We start from the raw sequence: 14,997 nt of genomic DNA, 5'->3' as shown, positions 1-14,997 counted from the left end.
AGGGAGGAATAAACCCGGCCCTTCAACCGGAGCCTTCCGGGGGCTTGGCTGCCTGCATCCACCGTCTGAGACAGTCCCGGGTGTTTGCACAGCAATTGCTCCTGGCTGGCGGCTGTAGGTGGGTGTGTTTCTCTCAGAGGAGAATCACGAGGGGAAGCCCTGGGGCCTGGGGGGTTGGCCAACGCTCCTGAGAGCAAGAAGGCACTGGTGGGGATTCAGAAGCCCCCAGGCCCAGTCCTGTGGCCTTGGATTCACAGGGCTCAGAACCAGGCCCAGACCACCCTGAAGCCCCTTGCGCAGCCGCGGATCCCAGGTCTGGGCTGTTCCTGTCCCGAACCCCCTCCCCCGGACTCCGTCTATAGGATTTTGGAGTGGCCACCTCCTCCTGCCAGCAGCCCCTCCCGACACAGAGCAGATGGGGGCACTGGCCCTGGCACTCTGGGCCAAGTCGGGTCCAGCTGCCAGGGCGAGAAGTTAGCTGCTGACCCCTGCGCTCCAGGGGACCAGTTTCTTTTTCTTTTTCCTTTTGAGACAGAGTCTCGCTCTGTTGCCCAGGCTGGAGTGCAGTGGCACGATTTCGGCTCACTGCAACCTCCGCCTCCCGGGCTCAAGCAATTCTCCTGTCTCAGCCTCCTGAGTAGCTGGGACTACAGGCGCCCGCCACCATGCCTGGCTGATTTTTGTATTTTTTGGTAGAGATGGGGTTCCACCATGTTGGCCAAGCTGGTCTCAAACTCCTGACCTCAAGTGCTCAGGCCTCAGCCTCCCAAAGTGCTGGGATTATAGGCGCGAGCCACCGTACCCAGCCCAGGGGCCCAGTTTCTTTCGAATGCTCCTAACAGTTCCAAGAGACCTCTTCACAGGGCCAGACTGAGGCAGGCGGGCAGGGAGGCCCAGTGCCGCCCCAACAGCAGAACCGTGTGGCCTTGGGAAATTTGCCGCATCTCTGGCCTCAGTCTCCTCCTCCGGGCAGCAGGAGGACAGCGCCTCACAGGGCTGCTGTGTGGAATCCAAGGAAAGACGCAAAAAGAGCTGTGGTGTAAACGCAGGAAACAGCACCATCAAAACCTGGAAGGGAGGGGCGAGGAACAACGCACGTCCCCCCCATGGCAGGACTGACGTTCCCCCTCTGCAGCCCTTCCCCTCCCTCTCCTCACAGCCCACCCCTCTCCCTTTTCTCCTTCTTCCCCTCCCCCTCTCCCTCTCTTCTCTCCTTCTCTCCCTCTCTCTCCTTCTCTCTCTCTCTCCCTCCCCTCCCACCTCTCTGCTAACCACACCCCCATCCAGGCTCAAATGCTCCTTCCCTTTGCCCCCCGTCCCCGCTCTGGCCCGCTCTGGCCCATGACACCAGGACCCTGCCCCTATGGGTGACTCCTGGTCACTGTCGCTGCAGCCCCACCCCCCTGGCCTCTGCTGTACTCTTCCACACAGGAATGCACCATAAACTTGCTCACGATAGGTCTCTGCAGTGTGGACATAGCCACCCAGGCTCAGCCTGCGCTGGGATCCCAGTCCCCATTGCTGGCCTGAGGGACCCCAGAGCCCAGGTGACTCCCACACTTCTCCCTCCCACGCAGTACTGTGGGCTGGGACCTCTGTTTCCCAAGGGGTTTACCTCCGGCTCTTGTTTTTCTTAACAACTGGACTGGCTCTGGCACACCCAAGGGTGACGTGTGAGGGCCCTTGGGCTCCTTGCGCACTGGGTCCCAGGGTGGCCCTGTTCCTTCTGTCCCTGGTGCTCACAGATGCGCCTCCTGAAGTCTGGGAGGCCCCATGGTTCCTCCCCAACCCGCTCACCAGCCTCACTCCCTAGAAGGCATCTCCAGCCCCTTCCTTGCGCCCCATCCGTGCCCCGCAGGAAGCTGTGCAGGGCTGACTGACGGGTCCTATTCCCCCAACCAAGAAGTCCTAGGGCTCTTTGTTCACCACTGTCCCCAGGGCCAGCTTGTTGCCTAGCACACAGTCGGCGCTCAGTAGATACTTGTGTGGCCCAACATCCCCCCAGACTCCGTGGCTCCTCCCTCTGCCTGCAGCCGTCGTGGTGTCCGAGGACCGGAGCTGGTAAGCAGAGCCAGATAGTGACAGCCGGACCCCAGACCCCTCCAAGCCGCAGACTGAGATCCTGGCTTTGTCCTGTCGCCGCTTACTGAGCACCTACTGTGTGCATGGCACTGTGCCTGGTACTCTGGAGCCAAGAGACAGACACCCAGCGCAGTTTATCTCAGAAGTCCAACCTCCAACGGAGCAGGCAGCCTGCAGCCAGGTGGGCTGGGGTGCAGGGGAGCCGGTGGCTCACAGTGGTGTCTACAGCCTACGAAAATGTCACAACTCAACAGTAAGAAGACAAATAATCCTTCTTTTTTTTTTTTTTCTTAAGACAGGGTCTCGCTCTGTCACCCAGGCTGGAATGCAGTGGCGTGATCATAGCTCACGGCAGCCTTGATTTCCTGAGCTCAAGTGATACTCCTGCTTCAGCCTTCCTCATAGCTGGGACTACAGGCACCACCATGCCCAGCTAATTTTTTGCATTTTTTATAGAAATGGGGTTTTGCCATGTTGCCCAGGCTGGTGCGCAGTGCCCCCCCTTTTTTTTTTTTTTGAGACAGAGTCTTACTCTGTTGCCCAGGCTAGAGTGCAGTGGTGCAATCCTGGCTCACTGCAACCTCTGCCTCCCAGGTTCGAGTGATTCTCCTGCCTCAGCTTCCGAGTAGCTGGGATTACAGGCGCCTGCCATCACGCCCAGCTCATTTTCCCATTTTTAGTAGAGATGCAGTTTTGCCATGTTGGCCAGGCTGGTCTCAAACTCCTGGCCTCAGGTGATCTGCCCACCTCGGCCTCCCAAAGTGCTGGAATTACAGGTGTGAGCACTGCGCCCGGCCTGAAATAACCCAATTTTTAAATGGGCAAGGATCTGAACAGGCATTGCTCCAAAGATGTACCAATGGGCCGACAAGCACCTAGAGAGACTCAGCACCAGCCTCCAGGAAATCCATCCCAGAAGTGGCTGCAACCAAAAAGACAGGCGATGACAGGTGCGGATGAGGACGCAGAAACACCAGAGCCCCCATGCTGCTGGCGGGAACGAGTAAACAGTGTGGCCAGGTGGAAAAAGGCTGGGGTGGAGTTAGTGCCGAACACTGTCAGTCTGTCTCCCAGGCCTGAGCTCCACCGTCTGTAAAATGGGCACGACACATGGACGTACCTGGCCTCTCGGGGCTGTAGGACAGCAGGGACGATGGCCAATGGCCTAAGGGATGAGGTGTTTGCCACAAGGCCAGGCACAGGCCAGTGTTGTGTCCTCATCCTGCCTTTGCTCCTTTTCCCGGCCTGTCCACGCCCTCCTCCCCCAGCTGCTGCCCGGCCTCCCTCCCTCCTCCTGCCTCCTCTTCCTCTGCCCACTTCTCGAGTCCTGGGGCTCCCCTAGGCTCCATCCTGTGCATTTCTCCCCTCCCACTTTCTGTTTTCTTTAAATAATATTTTTTGCCTTATTTCCAAGTTTTATTATTTATTTATTTATTTTTTTGAGACAGCGTCTCATTATGTCGCCCAGGCTAGAGTGCAGTGGCCCAATCTCAACTCACTGCAACCTGCACCTCCCGGGCTGAAGTGATTCTCCCACCTCAGCCTCCGGAGTGGCTGGGACTGCAGGCGCAGGCTGCCATGCCCCAGCTAATTTTTGTATTTTCTGTAGAGACGGGGCTTCGTTATGATGCCCAGGCTGGTCTCAAACTCCTGAACTCAAGTGATCCGCCCACCTCAGTCTCCCAAAGTGCTGGGATTACAGGCATGAGCCACCGCGCCCAGCCACTCCCCTCGCACTATTCAATGCCACCGGGAGTGGGAGATGCCCCGCCCCTTCCACCCAGACACACCATCCCCACCATGGACGCACCCCTGCCCCGGCTGCGCACAGCTTCTCTGCTGAGCATGTTTCACAGGTGACTCTCAGCTCCTGCACCTGCACCTGCTCCTTCTCCAAATTCCCTCAAAGACAGGACCACCCAGTCCCAGACTCCTGGCCTCTGCCCTACCATGCAGCCCCCCTACCTCCACAGCCCCCACCAGACCCAGCCACTATCTCCACTCCTTGGACACAGGCACCCCTCCCTAGAGGTGGCATCCCTCCCATGACCCCCAGCTTCCTCTCTGGCCCCCCATTTCCCTGCCCTGCCAGCACCAGAGTGACCACGTGAACTCAGCCATACAACTTCCACACGGCCCAGCACCAGCTCTCCTGGCATCCACTGGGGGAAAGCGAAGACATCTGTGCACAGGAAAACCTGGACCTGAGAGTTGGCAGCAGCTTTTTAAATTCACGACATCCCACGCTGGAGACACCCCAGATGCCCTTCAAGGGACAGATGGTTAAACAAACGGCCCATCCACACCGTGGGACACCGCCCAGCAATAAGAAAGAAAGGACTATTTTATTTGGTTTTTTGGTTTGTTGTTTGTTTGTTTTTTGAGACAGAGTCTCACTCTGTCACCCAGGCTGGAGTGCAACGGCGCAATCTCGGCTCACTGCAACCTCCGCCTCCCAGGCTCAAGTGATTCTCCTGCCTCAGCCTCCGAGTAGCTGTGATTACAGGTACGCACCACCGCACCCGGCTAATTTTACATTTTTAGTAAAGACGGGGTTTCACCATGTTGGCCAGGCTGGTCTCGAACTCCTGACCTCAGGTGACCCACCCGCCTAGGCCTCTCAAAGTGCTGGGATTACAGGCGTGAGCCACGGAGCCCAGCCTGGAACGAACTATTGATATAGGCAACACCTAAGAATCTCCAGCAAATGAGGCTGAGTGACGAAAGCCAGCCCCAAAATGACGAACTGTACTTTTCCGTTTACAGAGCATTTTGGAAACGACGAAACTGAAGGAATGGAGAACAGCTCAGAGGCTGCCAGGGCAGCGGGTATGGCTACAAAAGGGCAACACAAGGGACCCCGGGGCGCGGGTGCTCCCCATCCTGACTGTGTCCACGTCAATATCCGGTTCCGACATGTCATCAGTTGCACAGGATGCCACCTCGGGAGAGACCACATGAGGGGGACACCGGATCTCTGATCTATTCCTCACCACTGCCTGGGAATCTACGGTGATCTCAAAATAAAAAGTGTAATTACAAAAATACAAAACCTGGCTGGGCACAGTGGCTCACACCTGTAATCCCAGCACTTTGGAAGGCCGAGGTGGGCGGATCACGAGGTCAGGAGATCAAGACCATCCTGGCTAACACGGTGAAACCCTGTCTTTACTAAAAATACAAAAAAAAAAAAAATACAAAAACTTAACCAGGCGTGGTGGCGGGCGCCTGTAGTCCCAGCTACTCGGGAGGCTGAGGCAGGAGAACGGCGTGAACCCAGGAGGTGGAGCCTGTAGTGAGCTGAGATCGCGCCACTGCTCTCCCGCCTGGGCAATAGAACAAGACTCTGTCTCAAAAAAAAAAAAATACACACACACACACACACACACACACACACACACACACACACACACAAAACCAGATTGCGTTGCTGTTCTGCTTAAATCAGACAATGTCGTTCCCGGGCCCTGGAGAAAATTCAAAGTCCCCCAACCCTGGGGCCTGGAAGCTGTCTGTGCTCAGACCCCGTGCCCTTCTCCCAACTGCGGCAGCCACAGGGCTCTCTGAACACCAAGCAGGCTCTGGCCGTGGTGCCCCTGCACGCACCGTCTCCCTCCTGCAGGCTCTTCTTCCCTCTCTCCACACCACCGGCCCCTCCTGTCGCTCAGAGCTCGCCTGATTGACCACTCATTGACCCATCCAGCCATGATTTCCGGAGGTCTCCTCTGCTGTCGGGTGCTGTGCCCGGGGCTGACCCCAACAGACCCGGTCTCTTCCCCCACTCGCCTCCCCCTAGCAATGCCTCATTGCAGAGGAGGGAAGGCGACTGGAGCTTCTCAAGGCGTGGTCCCAGCACCACCTGCATTGAATGGCCCTGGCTGTGTGACCCTCCCCGGCATTCCTGGGCTCCCTTCTGGGCAGCCCGGGTCAGGGAGGCCGGGTCAGGCGACCCAGATGCGCACAGAGTTTGAGACTCGTGACTGGAGCTATGGAGTCCCTGCTCCATCACTTCCCACTTCTGTTGCATCTCTGAGCCTGCTTCCCATCTGGAAAATGGGGGAGCCATGCTTTCCCCACAAGGAGACGAAACAAATGAACAGGGAAAGCTCCAGGGCCCGGCCCCACTCACTGGGCAGGAAAGAAACACAGCAGCTGTCACTCAAGTCCATGCCGAGCTGGGAGAGAAGGGCTCAGGACAAGAAAGAAGGTTCTGGGTATCCCATGTTGCCTGGATGCTGACCCCAAGGGTACGGGGCCTCCGGAAGGGGGCGAGGTGAAAGACCAACTCTGCCTGGGTCTACTCCAGCCCAGGCCTCCACCAGGTCTATAGGAATCTGCTGATCCCGGCCTATTTTTCTACTCACTGGGCAAACTGAGATCAATCTGGGCACGCTTAGGCCCCGGGGAGGATGGACAGGTTCTTATCTGGGGATCTGTGGATGGGTCCCCGGGAACCTGTGAACCCTCAGGAGAGCCACCAACCCTCATGTGTGCAGGGACCTTCCTTTATTCTGGGAAGGGACGCACAGCTCCTCACGTGTGCAGGGACCAGCGTTTATCCCGGGAGGGGACGCGCGGCTCCTCGTGTGTGCAGGGACCAGCGTTTATCCCGGGAGGGGACGCGCGGCTCCTCGTGTGTGCAGGGACCAGCGTTTATCCCGGGAGGGGACGCGCGGCTCCTCGTGTGTGCAGGGACCAGCGTTTATCCCGGGAGGGGACGCGCGGCTCCTCGTGTGTGCAGGGACCAGCGTTTATCCCGGGAAGGGACGCACAGCTCCTCACGTGTGCAGGGACCAGCGTTTATCCTGGGAGAGGACACGCGGCTCCTCGTGTGTGCAGGGACCAGCGTTTATCCCGGGAGGGGACGCGCGGCTCCTCGTGTGTGCAGGGACCAGAGTTTATCCCGGGAGGGGACGCGCGGCTCCTCACGTGTGCAGGGACCTGCCTTTATCCTGGGACGGGGAGGCGCAGACCCCCTTGTGTGCAGGGACCAGCGTTTATCCTGGGAGGGAACAGACAGCTCCACACGTGTACAGAGACCTGCCTTTATCCTGGGAAAGGACACGCAGCTCCTCCTGTGTGCATGGACCTGCGTTTATCCTGCGGGGGACGCGCGGACCCTCGTGTGTGCAGGGACCAGCACTTATCCTGGGAGGGGACGCACAGCTCCTCCTGTGAACAGGGACCTGCCTTTATCCTTGGAGGGGACGCACAGCTCCTCCTGTGTACAGGGACCTGCCTTTATCCTTGGAGGGGACGCACAGCTCCTCCTGTGTACAGGGACCTGCCTTTATCCTTGGAGGGGACGCACAGCTCCTCCTGTGTACAGGGACCTGTGTTTATCCTGGGAGGGGACGTGTAGCTCCTGTGTGCAGGGACCTGCCTTTATCCTGGGAGGGGACACGCGGCTCCTCGTATCTGCAGGGACCTGCTTTTATCCTGGGAGGGGTCACGCAGCTCTGTGTCCACACCACGCTGGCAGTCCCCCAAGCTTACAAATTGCTGGGAGTGAAACCTCTCTGCCCCTGCTTCACTGTGAGACCTGGGGCAGGGCCCCTCCCTTGGTGGGCCTCAGTTTCCTCATCTGTAAAGCAAGTGGGCCCCTGGAATGCTGGCTCCATCAAGAAAGGCATCTCGGAGCGCCGGAAACAATTCTGCGGCCAGAAACAAGTTTGCAGCGCTGTGATCTCAGCGAGTGTGACCCTGTGAGCCTCACCTTTCCTGTCTTTTAAATGGGAGCGGAATGCCTTATCTCAAGGCATTATCTTAAGGAATGTAAGATATAACGTCTATGATAAAATGCCCAGCACAATACTTGGAACAAAATAGATGTTTTAGAAAGAAAAAGTGTTTTTCTTTCAAAGGAATTCCCTGGCTTTGCAGTTCTAGGTTATCATACACAGTCAGCCCTCTATAGCTTCAGGTTCCAAGTCCACAAATTCAACCAACTGCAGATCAAAAATATATTCAAAAACAACACAATAGGCTGGGCTAGGTGGCTCACACCTGTAATCCCAGCACTTTGAGAGGCTGAGGTGGGCGGATCACTTGAGGTCAAGAGTTCAAGACCAGTCTGGCCAACATGGTGAAACCCCGTCTCTACCAAAAATACAAAAATTAGCCAGGCATGGTCGTGGGCACCTGTAATCCCAGCTACTCGGGAGGCAGAGGCAGGAGAATGGCTTGAACTCGGGAAGCAGAGGCTGCAGTGAGCTGAGTTCACGCTACCTGTAATTCCAGCACTTTGGGAGGCCGAGGCGGGCGGTTCACGAGGTCAGGAGATCGAGACCATCCTGGCTAACACGGTGAAACCCCGTCTCTACTAAACAAAATACAAAAAATTAGCCGGACGTGGTGGTGGGTACCTGTAGTCCCAGCTACTCGGGAGGCTGAGGCAGGAGAATGGCGTGAATCCGGCAGGCGGAGCTTGCAGTGAGCCGAGATCGCGCCACTGCACTCCAGCCTAGGCGACAGAGTGAGACTCTGTCTCAAAAAAAAAAAAAAAAAAAGAGAAAGAAAGAAACGTAGGTATTGTGCTTGGAAAATTTCTAGTCTACTTTATTTTACTTTATTTTTTTTGAGACGGAGTCTCACTCTTTCACCCAGGCCGGACTGCAGGGGCGCTATCTTGGCTCACTGCAAGCTCCGCCTCCCAGGTTCATGCCATTCTCCTGCCTCAGCCTCCAGAGTAGCTGGGACTACAGGTGCCCGCCCGCCACCAAGCCCAGCTAATATTTTTTTTGTATTTTTAGTAGAGACGGGGTTTCACTGTGTTAGCCAGGATGGTCTCAATCTCCTGACCTCCTCGGCCTCCGCCCGCCTCGGCCTCCCAAAGTGCTGGGATTACAGGCATGAGCCACCACGCCCGGCCTCTAGTCTATTTTAATGTACTATATTAATTTCATGAACCACTTGACCCAGAGTGTGAAAAACTCTTATCTACAGCTGCAACTCTAGGCCCTGCTTGCTGTGACCAGATACTCAGGCTGAGACCCCCGCCTTAAAGTTTCCAGTGTCAGTGGTCTTGGATGGACCCCGGCATGGGTCAGTCATCAAAGCTCCCAAGTGATGTCCAGCTACAGACGCTCCAGATGAGTGGTCCTCAACCTGCGCTGAACGTTAGAATCACCTGGAATGTTTAAAAAATAATCTCAGGCCAGGTGCAGTTGCTCACACCTGTAATCCTGTAAAAAAGTTGCTCACACCTGTAAAAGCACTTCAGGAGGCCAAGGTGGGCGGATCGCTTGAGCTCAGGAGTTTGAGACCAGTCTGGGAAACACGACAAAACCCCATCTCTACAACAAATAACAAAACTTAGCTGGGCATGGGGGTGCATGCCTGCAGTCCCAGCTACTCAGGAGGCTGAGGTGGGAAGATGGCTTGAGGCCAGGAGGCAGAGGTTGCAGTGAGCCACGATCACACACTATTGCACGCCAGGACGACAGACGGAGCCAGCCCCCGTCTGAAAAAAATTAAAATAAAAAGAATCCCAATGCCCAGGCTGTACCCAGAGGACCTCAATCAGCACCTGTGGGTGGGGCCCGGGCATCTGCATTTTCTAAAGCAACCTAGATGAAGCTCATGCACAGCTAGGGTTAAAGTGAGTGCACCAAAGCAGGATCTCCTGCACTGCAGCCACCTGAGCATCTCCAAACACACATCCTGACCCTGGAGGTCAGGCAGGCCTGACACGCTGCATTTCTAACCGTCTCCCAGGGACATTCTTAGTGACTCGAATGTGTAGCCAGGCTTAGGAGGCACAAGCCCAGGACTGTGGTTCTTAATGTGAGGTCCCCAGATCAGCAGCCTCAGCATCGCCTGAAATTTGTAAGAAATATAAATTCTTGGGTGGCATCCCAGGCCCAGAGACTCAGGGGTGGGGCTGGAAATCTGTGTCTTGACACACCTTCCAGGTGGTTCTTGTAACACTCAGGCTTGGGAAGCACTGGCATAGAGCAGCAGACAGAGGCGGGCCCATGTCCTGCCCAACTCAGACTCCACCAGCAGCAGAGAGAGCGACTCTCGGTGTTTTTGGAAAGCATTTGCACCAGCGAGCCTTCCCTGGGTCCAGAACAATACCCGTGACATTCATAGGTAGGAGGGAGATGGCACATGTTGAGAAGGAAAAAAATGTCATGACTAAATCATAGAGATGGGGAAGCTGAGGCTGAGGGAGACATGGCCTCGAACAAATCTGCAGCCTCAGGCTTGGGATAACAACTCTCACCCTACTGCCCTTCCAGACTCAACTCAGGCACTGCCTACCCCCAGAAGCCTCTGCCGCTCCTTCAGGGACACACACACCTGCCCTGCCCCTCCTCAGGTCCCTGCCCTGTGGTGCTCCCATTCAGGACCCCCACTGTGGCATGAGAAACCCTGAATTATTCCATATATCTCGGTTTTGCATCCCTGTTCAGACTCCTTATTCTTCCTGGTAGAACATAGGACATCCTATTTCTTGCATTTTCATTTTTATGTGTTTGTTTCTTTTTTTCCAATCTTCCACGTTACCACAAACTCTGTACTGCGTACATACTCAATGCTCAGCAAATACTTAAGGCTGATTCACTGAGGTTGGACCTGAGCTTTTCTGTCTTTGTGCCTTGAACACGGTCTGAACTTGGCAAATGCTTCTCCAATGACTGAACGAATCAAGCCAAGGAAAAGGGAGCAGTAAAAAGATAGTGAGGAATTAAGCAGACTGGAGGGTACTCATCTTTCCATGGGCCTTTCTTTGCACTTTGCAATGAATGCTACTCATTAAATCGTGGTCCAAAAATGCCTCCCAGTCATGACTGCTGGTATCGCTCCATTATTCACTGCATTCAACACCATCATCTTTCTCATATGAAACACTGGCAGTCTCTTAAGGAGCAATGACAAAGCCAACCACAAAACAAAACTGATCAAGGAATTAGAACAGGCATGTTTTAATGCTAATTGTAAAGGGAGACTGACCTGTGGACATGAGGGTCTCACGGAAAAACTTTCCTTTAACTACGTCCAATTCTAAGGTCTTGCAATGAAACAGGCATACGAAATAATGACGGTAAACAAAATTACCAAATACTACCGCATTTACTTGCACAGGTCATTCATTCCACAAATATTTATTGACCACCACGTGCCAGCACCATTTTAGTCACTGGGCACATGGCAGTGACCAGCATGGACACAAACCGCTTCCCATATGGAACTTACACTCCAGACCAGTGCTGCCTGCCCAATAAAGCTTTCTGCACTGATGGAATGTTCTGGATTTACATTGTCCAATATGGTGGCGACTAGTCCCAGGTGGCTGTTGAGCCCGTGAAATGTGGCTGGTACTGGTTCGTTGCCTGTTAGGAACCCAGCCACACAGCAGGAGGTGAGTGGCGAGTGAGTAAGCAAGCAAGTGAAGCTTCGTCTGTATTTACAGCCGCTCTCCAACGCTTGCATTACTGCCTGAGCTCTGCCTCCTGTGAGATCAGCAGCAGCATTAGATTCTCATAGGAATGCAGAGCCTACTGGAAACTGCTCATGCCAGGGACCTAGTTTGCACACTCCTTATGATAATCTAATGTCCGATGATCTGTCACTATCTCCCATCACCCCCAGATGAGACCGTCTAGTTGTAGGAAAACAAACTCAGGGCTCCCACTGATTCTACATGATGGTGAGTTGTATTATTACTTCACTATATATTACAATGTAATAATAATAGAAATAAAGCACACAATAAATAGAATGCGCCTGAATCATCCCAAAACCATCCCTCAACCCTGGGCGGTAGAAAAATTGTCTTCCATGAAACAGGTCCCTGGTGCCAAAAAGGTTGGGGACCATTGGTCTAGAGGACTCACCCATTGAGGCAGATGTAAAGAGAATGGTGGTGAAACAGTTTCACTGACTGGTACAGACAAATCATTCCTCTGCCTGCCTTCGGCTGTGCACCTATGACCCCTGTTATGCTCCAAGAGAAGTGAACACACATATCCTATGGCAGGAATACACCTTAGACTTCAGAGCAACTTCTATACATCTTACTAAAGTCTCACCCTAGGCCGGGCACAGTGGCTCACACCTGTAATCCCAACACTTTGGGAGGCCGAGGCACGCAGATCGCCTGAGTTCAGTTCAAGACCAGCCTGGCCAACATGGCAAAACACTGTCTCTACTAAAACCCAAAACATTAGCCAGGTGTGGTGGTGTATGCCTGTAATCCCAGCTACTCGGGAGGCTGAGGCATGAGAATGACTTGAGCCCAGGAGGCAGAGGTTGCAATGAGCCAAGATCACTCCACTGCACTCCACCTTGGGCTACAGGGTGAGACTCCATCTCAAAACAGATAAATAAATAAATAAAAACAAAAAAATAAAGTCTCACCCCCAAACCCACCTCCACAAGCTGGGAGCTGCTCTCCCAGTTGACCAGCAGAGGATGTTACCTCAGAAGACACTCACTTCTTCAGGAAGGACTGACAGGGTAGGGGTGAAAACATAGGCAGGCATGCCAAGTGGCAGCCCTTCCTGGAGCATGGAATCCATGCACCGACTGAGTAGGACCAGGCACACTTCTTCTTTTTCTTTTGAGATGGGGTCTGGCTCTGTCAGCAGGCTGGAGTGCAGTGGCACCATCTTGGCTCACTGCAGCCTTGACCTCCGGGGCTCAAGCGATCCTCTCACCTCAGCCTCCTGAGTGGTGGGACCACAGGCGTGCAGCACCACACCTGGCTAATTTTTGTATTTTTTGTAGAGACGGGGGTCTCACAATGTTGCCCAGGCTGGTCTCAAACTCCTGGGCTCAAGTGAACCTCCCATCTCGGCCTCCCAAAGTGTTGGGATCGCAGGCGTGGCCCCCACATCTGGCACAGGCATAGGCACACTTCTGGTGGTTGAGTGTGCTGGAGGGTCCGGGACCAGGCGGTCACTGGCAAGGAGAGATGGTTTGGCTTGAAGAGGATGCCTAGAGCGAAAGTGAGTCCAGCCGTCCACCCAACCCAGGCAGGCAGCCGGGAGCGCTCTCCAAGGTGCTGAAGGGACTGCCTCTCTTCTCTCCTCCTCTCCTCTCCAGACTTGGAAGACAGCACCTTACTCAAGTTCGAGCCAGGACCCCAGTGCAGCGGTGGCTCCATCCACCGCATGGCCTCTCACAGCCATGAAGCTACCAGCGGGGGAAGCGGCCAGTCCACGGAGACACGGACCAATGTGGAAAATTCACACCAACATCACCCTCTCCTCTAGTACTCACAAGTCTTTTTGTCATCTAAGGACACAAAGGGCGTTACATTCAACATTATTAGCTCACAGTTGAGAGCTCGTCATATTTAGAGTTGTGGAGGCTTGGGGAAAACAGGAAGAAAAAGTCTTGGAAAGGAACAGCAGAGGCTCCTGCCCCCACCCCCACACTCCACCCCTTCTTGCTCTCTCCGGCTGGGTGTCCTCAGAAGAGAAGGGGTCAGAGTTCTCTCTCTCCTTCTCTGTGTCAGCTGGGGCTGCTCACTCACTACTCCAGATCGCTGCTGTAGGCGGGTGCCGGTCCTCACTCCCCGGCCAGCTCATCTCAGGATTCCTCACACAAAGCCCATCAAACGGCCTCACGGCCAACGTGGGTAGGGGTGCCCTTCAGCCACATTTGTTTCTCAGCTATAACTGGCAACAAAAAAATAGCTGTTTGCTTCTTCCTTTCTCTTTTCACCTTACGGAGCCTTTCACCACCCGCCCCCCGAAGTAGCGGAAAGAGAATCTCGGAGAAAACGCTTTCGTCTCCAACTGCTCAGGGCTTGCTTCTTGTTTCTGAAATGAGTTTCTGTTGGCATAATCTCCGCACCAATGAACCTGATTCCTTCTAACCTGGGCACTCATTTGAAAAAGAAATTACTTGTTGCATAGTCATAGTCATAGCCAAGCACAAAGCATACGCCCCATGGTAGTTTATTTTGTTGAGATGAGGGATTTTTCTCCCTAAAAGGGCACTAACAGCATAAACGTGTGTTTAAAATGGAAACGAAGCACACCACTGCCTCTGTCATCTGAGCTCCCCGTTTACAGGCCTGGTGGAGATTCAGAGTCCTTGGCCAGTGGAGAGCAAGCAAGGCCGCAAGGGCGCAGTGGCTGCGTTCTGGGGGACGGGGTGGAAAATGTCTCCGGGTGGCAGGTGTTTTGTGCGCGTGTGTGTGCGCAGGCGCCTGGGGGGATCTGAATTCCGACTGTGGGTGTGTGTGATTTGTGTGGGTTGAGGAATCTGGGCCGGTGAACGGGACCTGAGTATGAGGGGGAGAGGCTTGGGCGTGAGATGACTCATATCTTTCAGGGTGTAGGAGGGCTTATTGGAGGGGGTAACTTTCGATTCGAGGGGTTCTGTGTACACAGCACCCGAAGGAAAGATCTATACCTGTGCGGTGCAGCACCGGCATGCATGGTGGGCCTCAGGGGGCCAGGGGTCCTGGGCAGTGTATGGGTTTGCCCGTCTGTGCATGGGCATTCACCTGCAATTCTGGGCCACTGTACGCACAAGAGAACGAGAGATATAAACGAGAGGAAAGAACAGGAGGTGTTTTTGCACAGGGGCATTTAGAGAGCGACGTACCTAGCAAAGGCCCAGGCTCTGGGATGGCTGTCCTGAGTGTGACGCCTGCTGGTTCCTCCCAACCCACACCCACTGGGAGCCTCCACTTCCCAGTGTGGAAAATGAGAATAACAAGAAAATCACCCTCTAGAGGTGTAAGAATTAAGGGCTGTAATTCATTTAACACTTGCCACATGCTTGGCAGACAGTAAGTATCTAATGTTGCTATTTAACATCATTTACATGATCACCAGTCTCCTGTCCAGATGTTGGTTCTAATAATGATCATTGTAAGTGACATGCATTGCCTGGAAACTGTAATGAAAAAACTAACGGTAAATAATAATGTATGCTTACTATATTCCTGGC

At 54.3% G+C, this 14,997-nt stretch overlaps 1 protein-coding gene across 2 annotated transcripts in view, besides 4 other annotated features; it reads right to left on the bottom strand.

The window, feature by feature from the left end:
• Nucleotides 1-14,997, bottom strand: part of JPH3 (junctophilin 3) — a 96,322-nt gene that overhangs the window by 76,470 nt on the left and 4,855 nt on the right. The gene's annotated exons all lie outside the window — the stretch shown is intronic.
• Nucleotides 548-1,392: an enhancer, noted in NCBI's record as "H3K4me1 hESC enhancer chr16:87653901-87654745 (GRCh37/hg19 assembly coordinates)". NCBI's record gives its function as "activates a minimal SCP1, AML or CMV promoter by ChIP-STARR-seq in primed H9 embryonic stem cells {active_cell/tissue: H9 hESC(primed)}" and the evidence as "EXISTENCE:reporter gene assay evidence [ECO:0000049][PMID:30033119]".
• Nucleotides 1,393-2,237: an enhancer, noted in NCBI's record as "H3K4me1 hESC enhancer chr16:87653056-87653900 (GRCh37/hg19 assembly coordinates)". NCBI's record gives its function as "activates a minimal SCP1, AML or CMV promoter by ChIP-STARR-seq in naive H9 embryonic stem cells {active_cell/tissue: H9 hESC(naive)}" and the evidence as "EXISTENCE:reporter gene assay evidence [ECO:0000049][PMID:30033119]".
• Nucleotides 6,791-7,291: an enhancer, noted in NCBI's record as "H3K4me1 hESC enhancer chr16:87648002-87648502 (GRCh37/hg19 assembly coordinates)". NCBI's record gives its function as "activates a minimal SCP1, AML or CMV promoter by ChIP-STARR-seq in naive H9 embryonic stem cells {active_cell/tissue: H9 hESC(naive)}" and the evidence as "EXISTENCE:reporter gene assay evidence [ECO:0000049][PMID:30033119]".
• Nucleotides 12,997-13,197: a silencer, noted in NCBI's record as "peak2658 fragment used in MPRA reporter construct". NCBI's record gives its function as "represses an SCP1 promoter by STARR-seq MPRAs in K562 erythroleukemia cells {active_cell/tissue: K562}" and the evidence as "EXISTENCE:reporter gene assay evidence [ECO:0000049][PMID:32103011]".

Source organism: Homo sapiens, chromosome 16 (assembly GCF_000001405.40).
Source record: "Homo sapiens chromosome 16, GRCh38.p14 Primary Assembly".
Lineage (NCBI taxonomy): Eukaryota > Metazoa > Chordata > Mammalia > Primates > Hominidae > Homo > Homo sapiens.
This window is presented reverse-complemented; position numbering and strand designations above follow the sequence as displayed.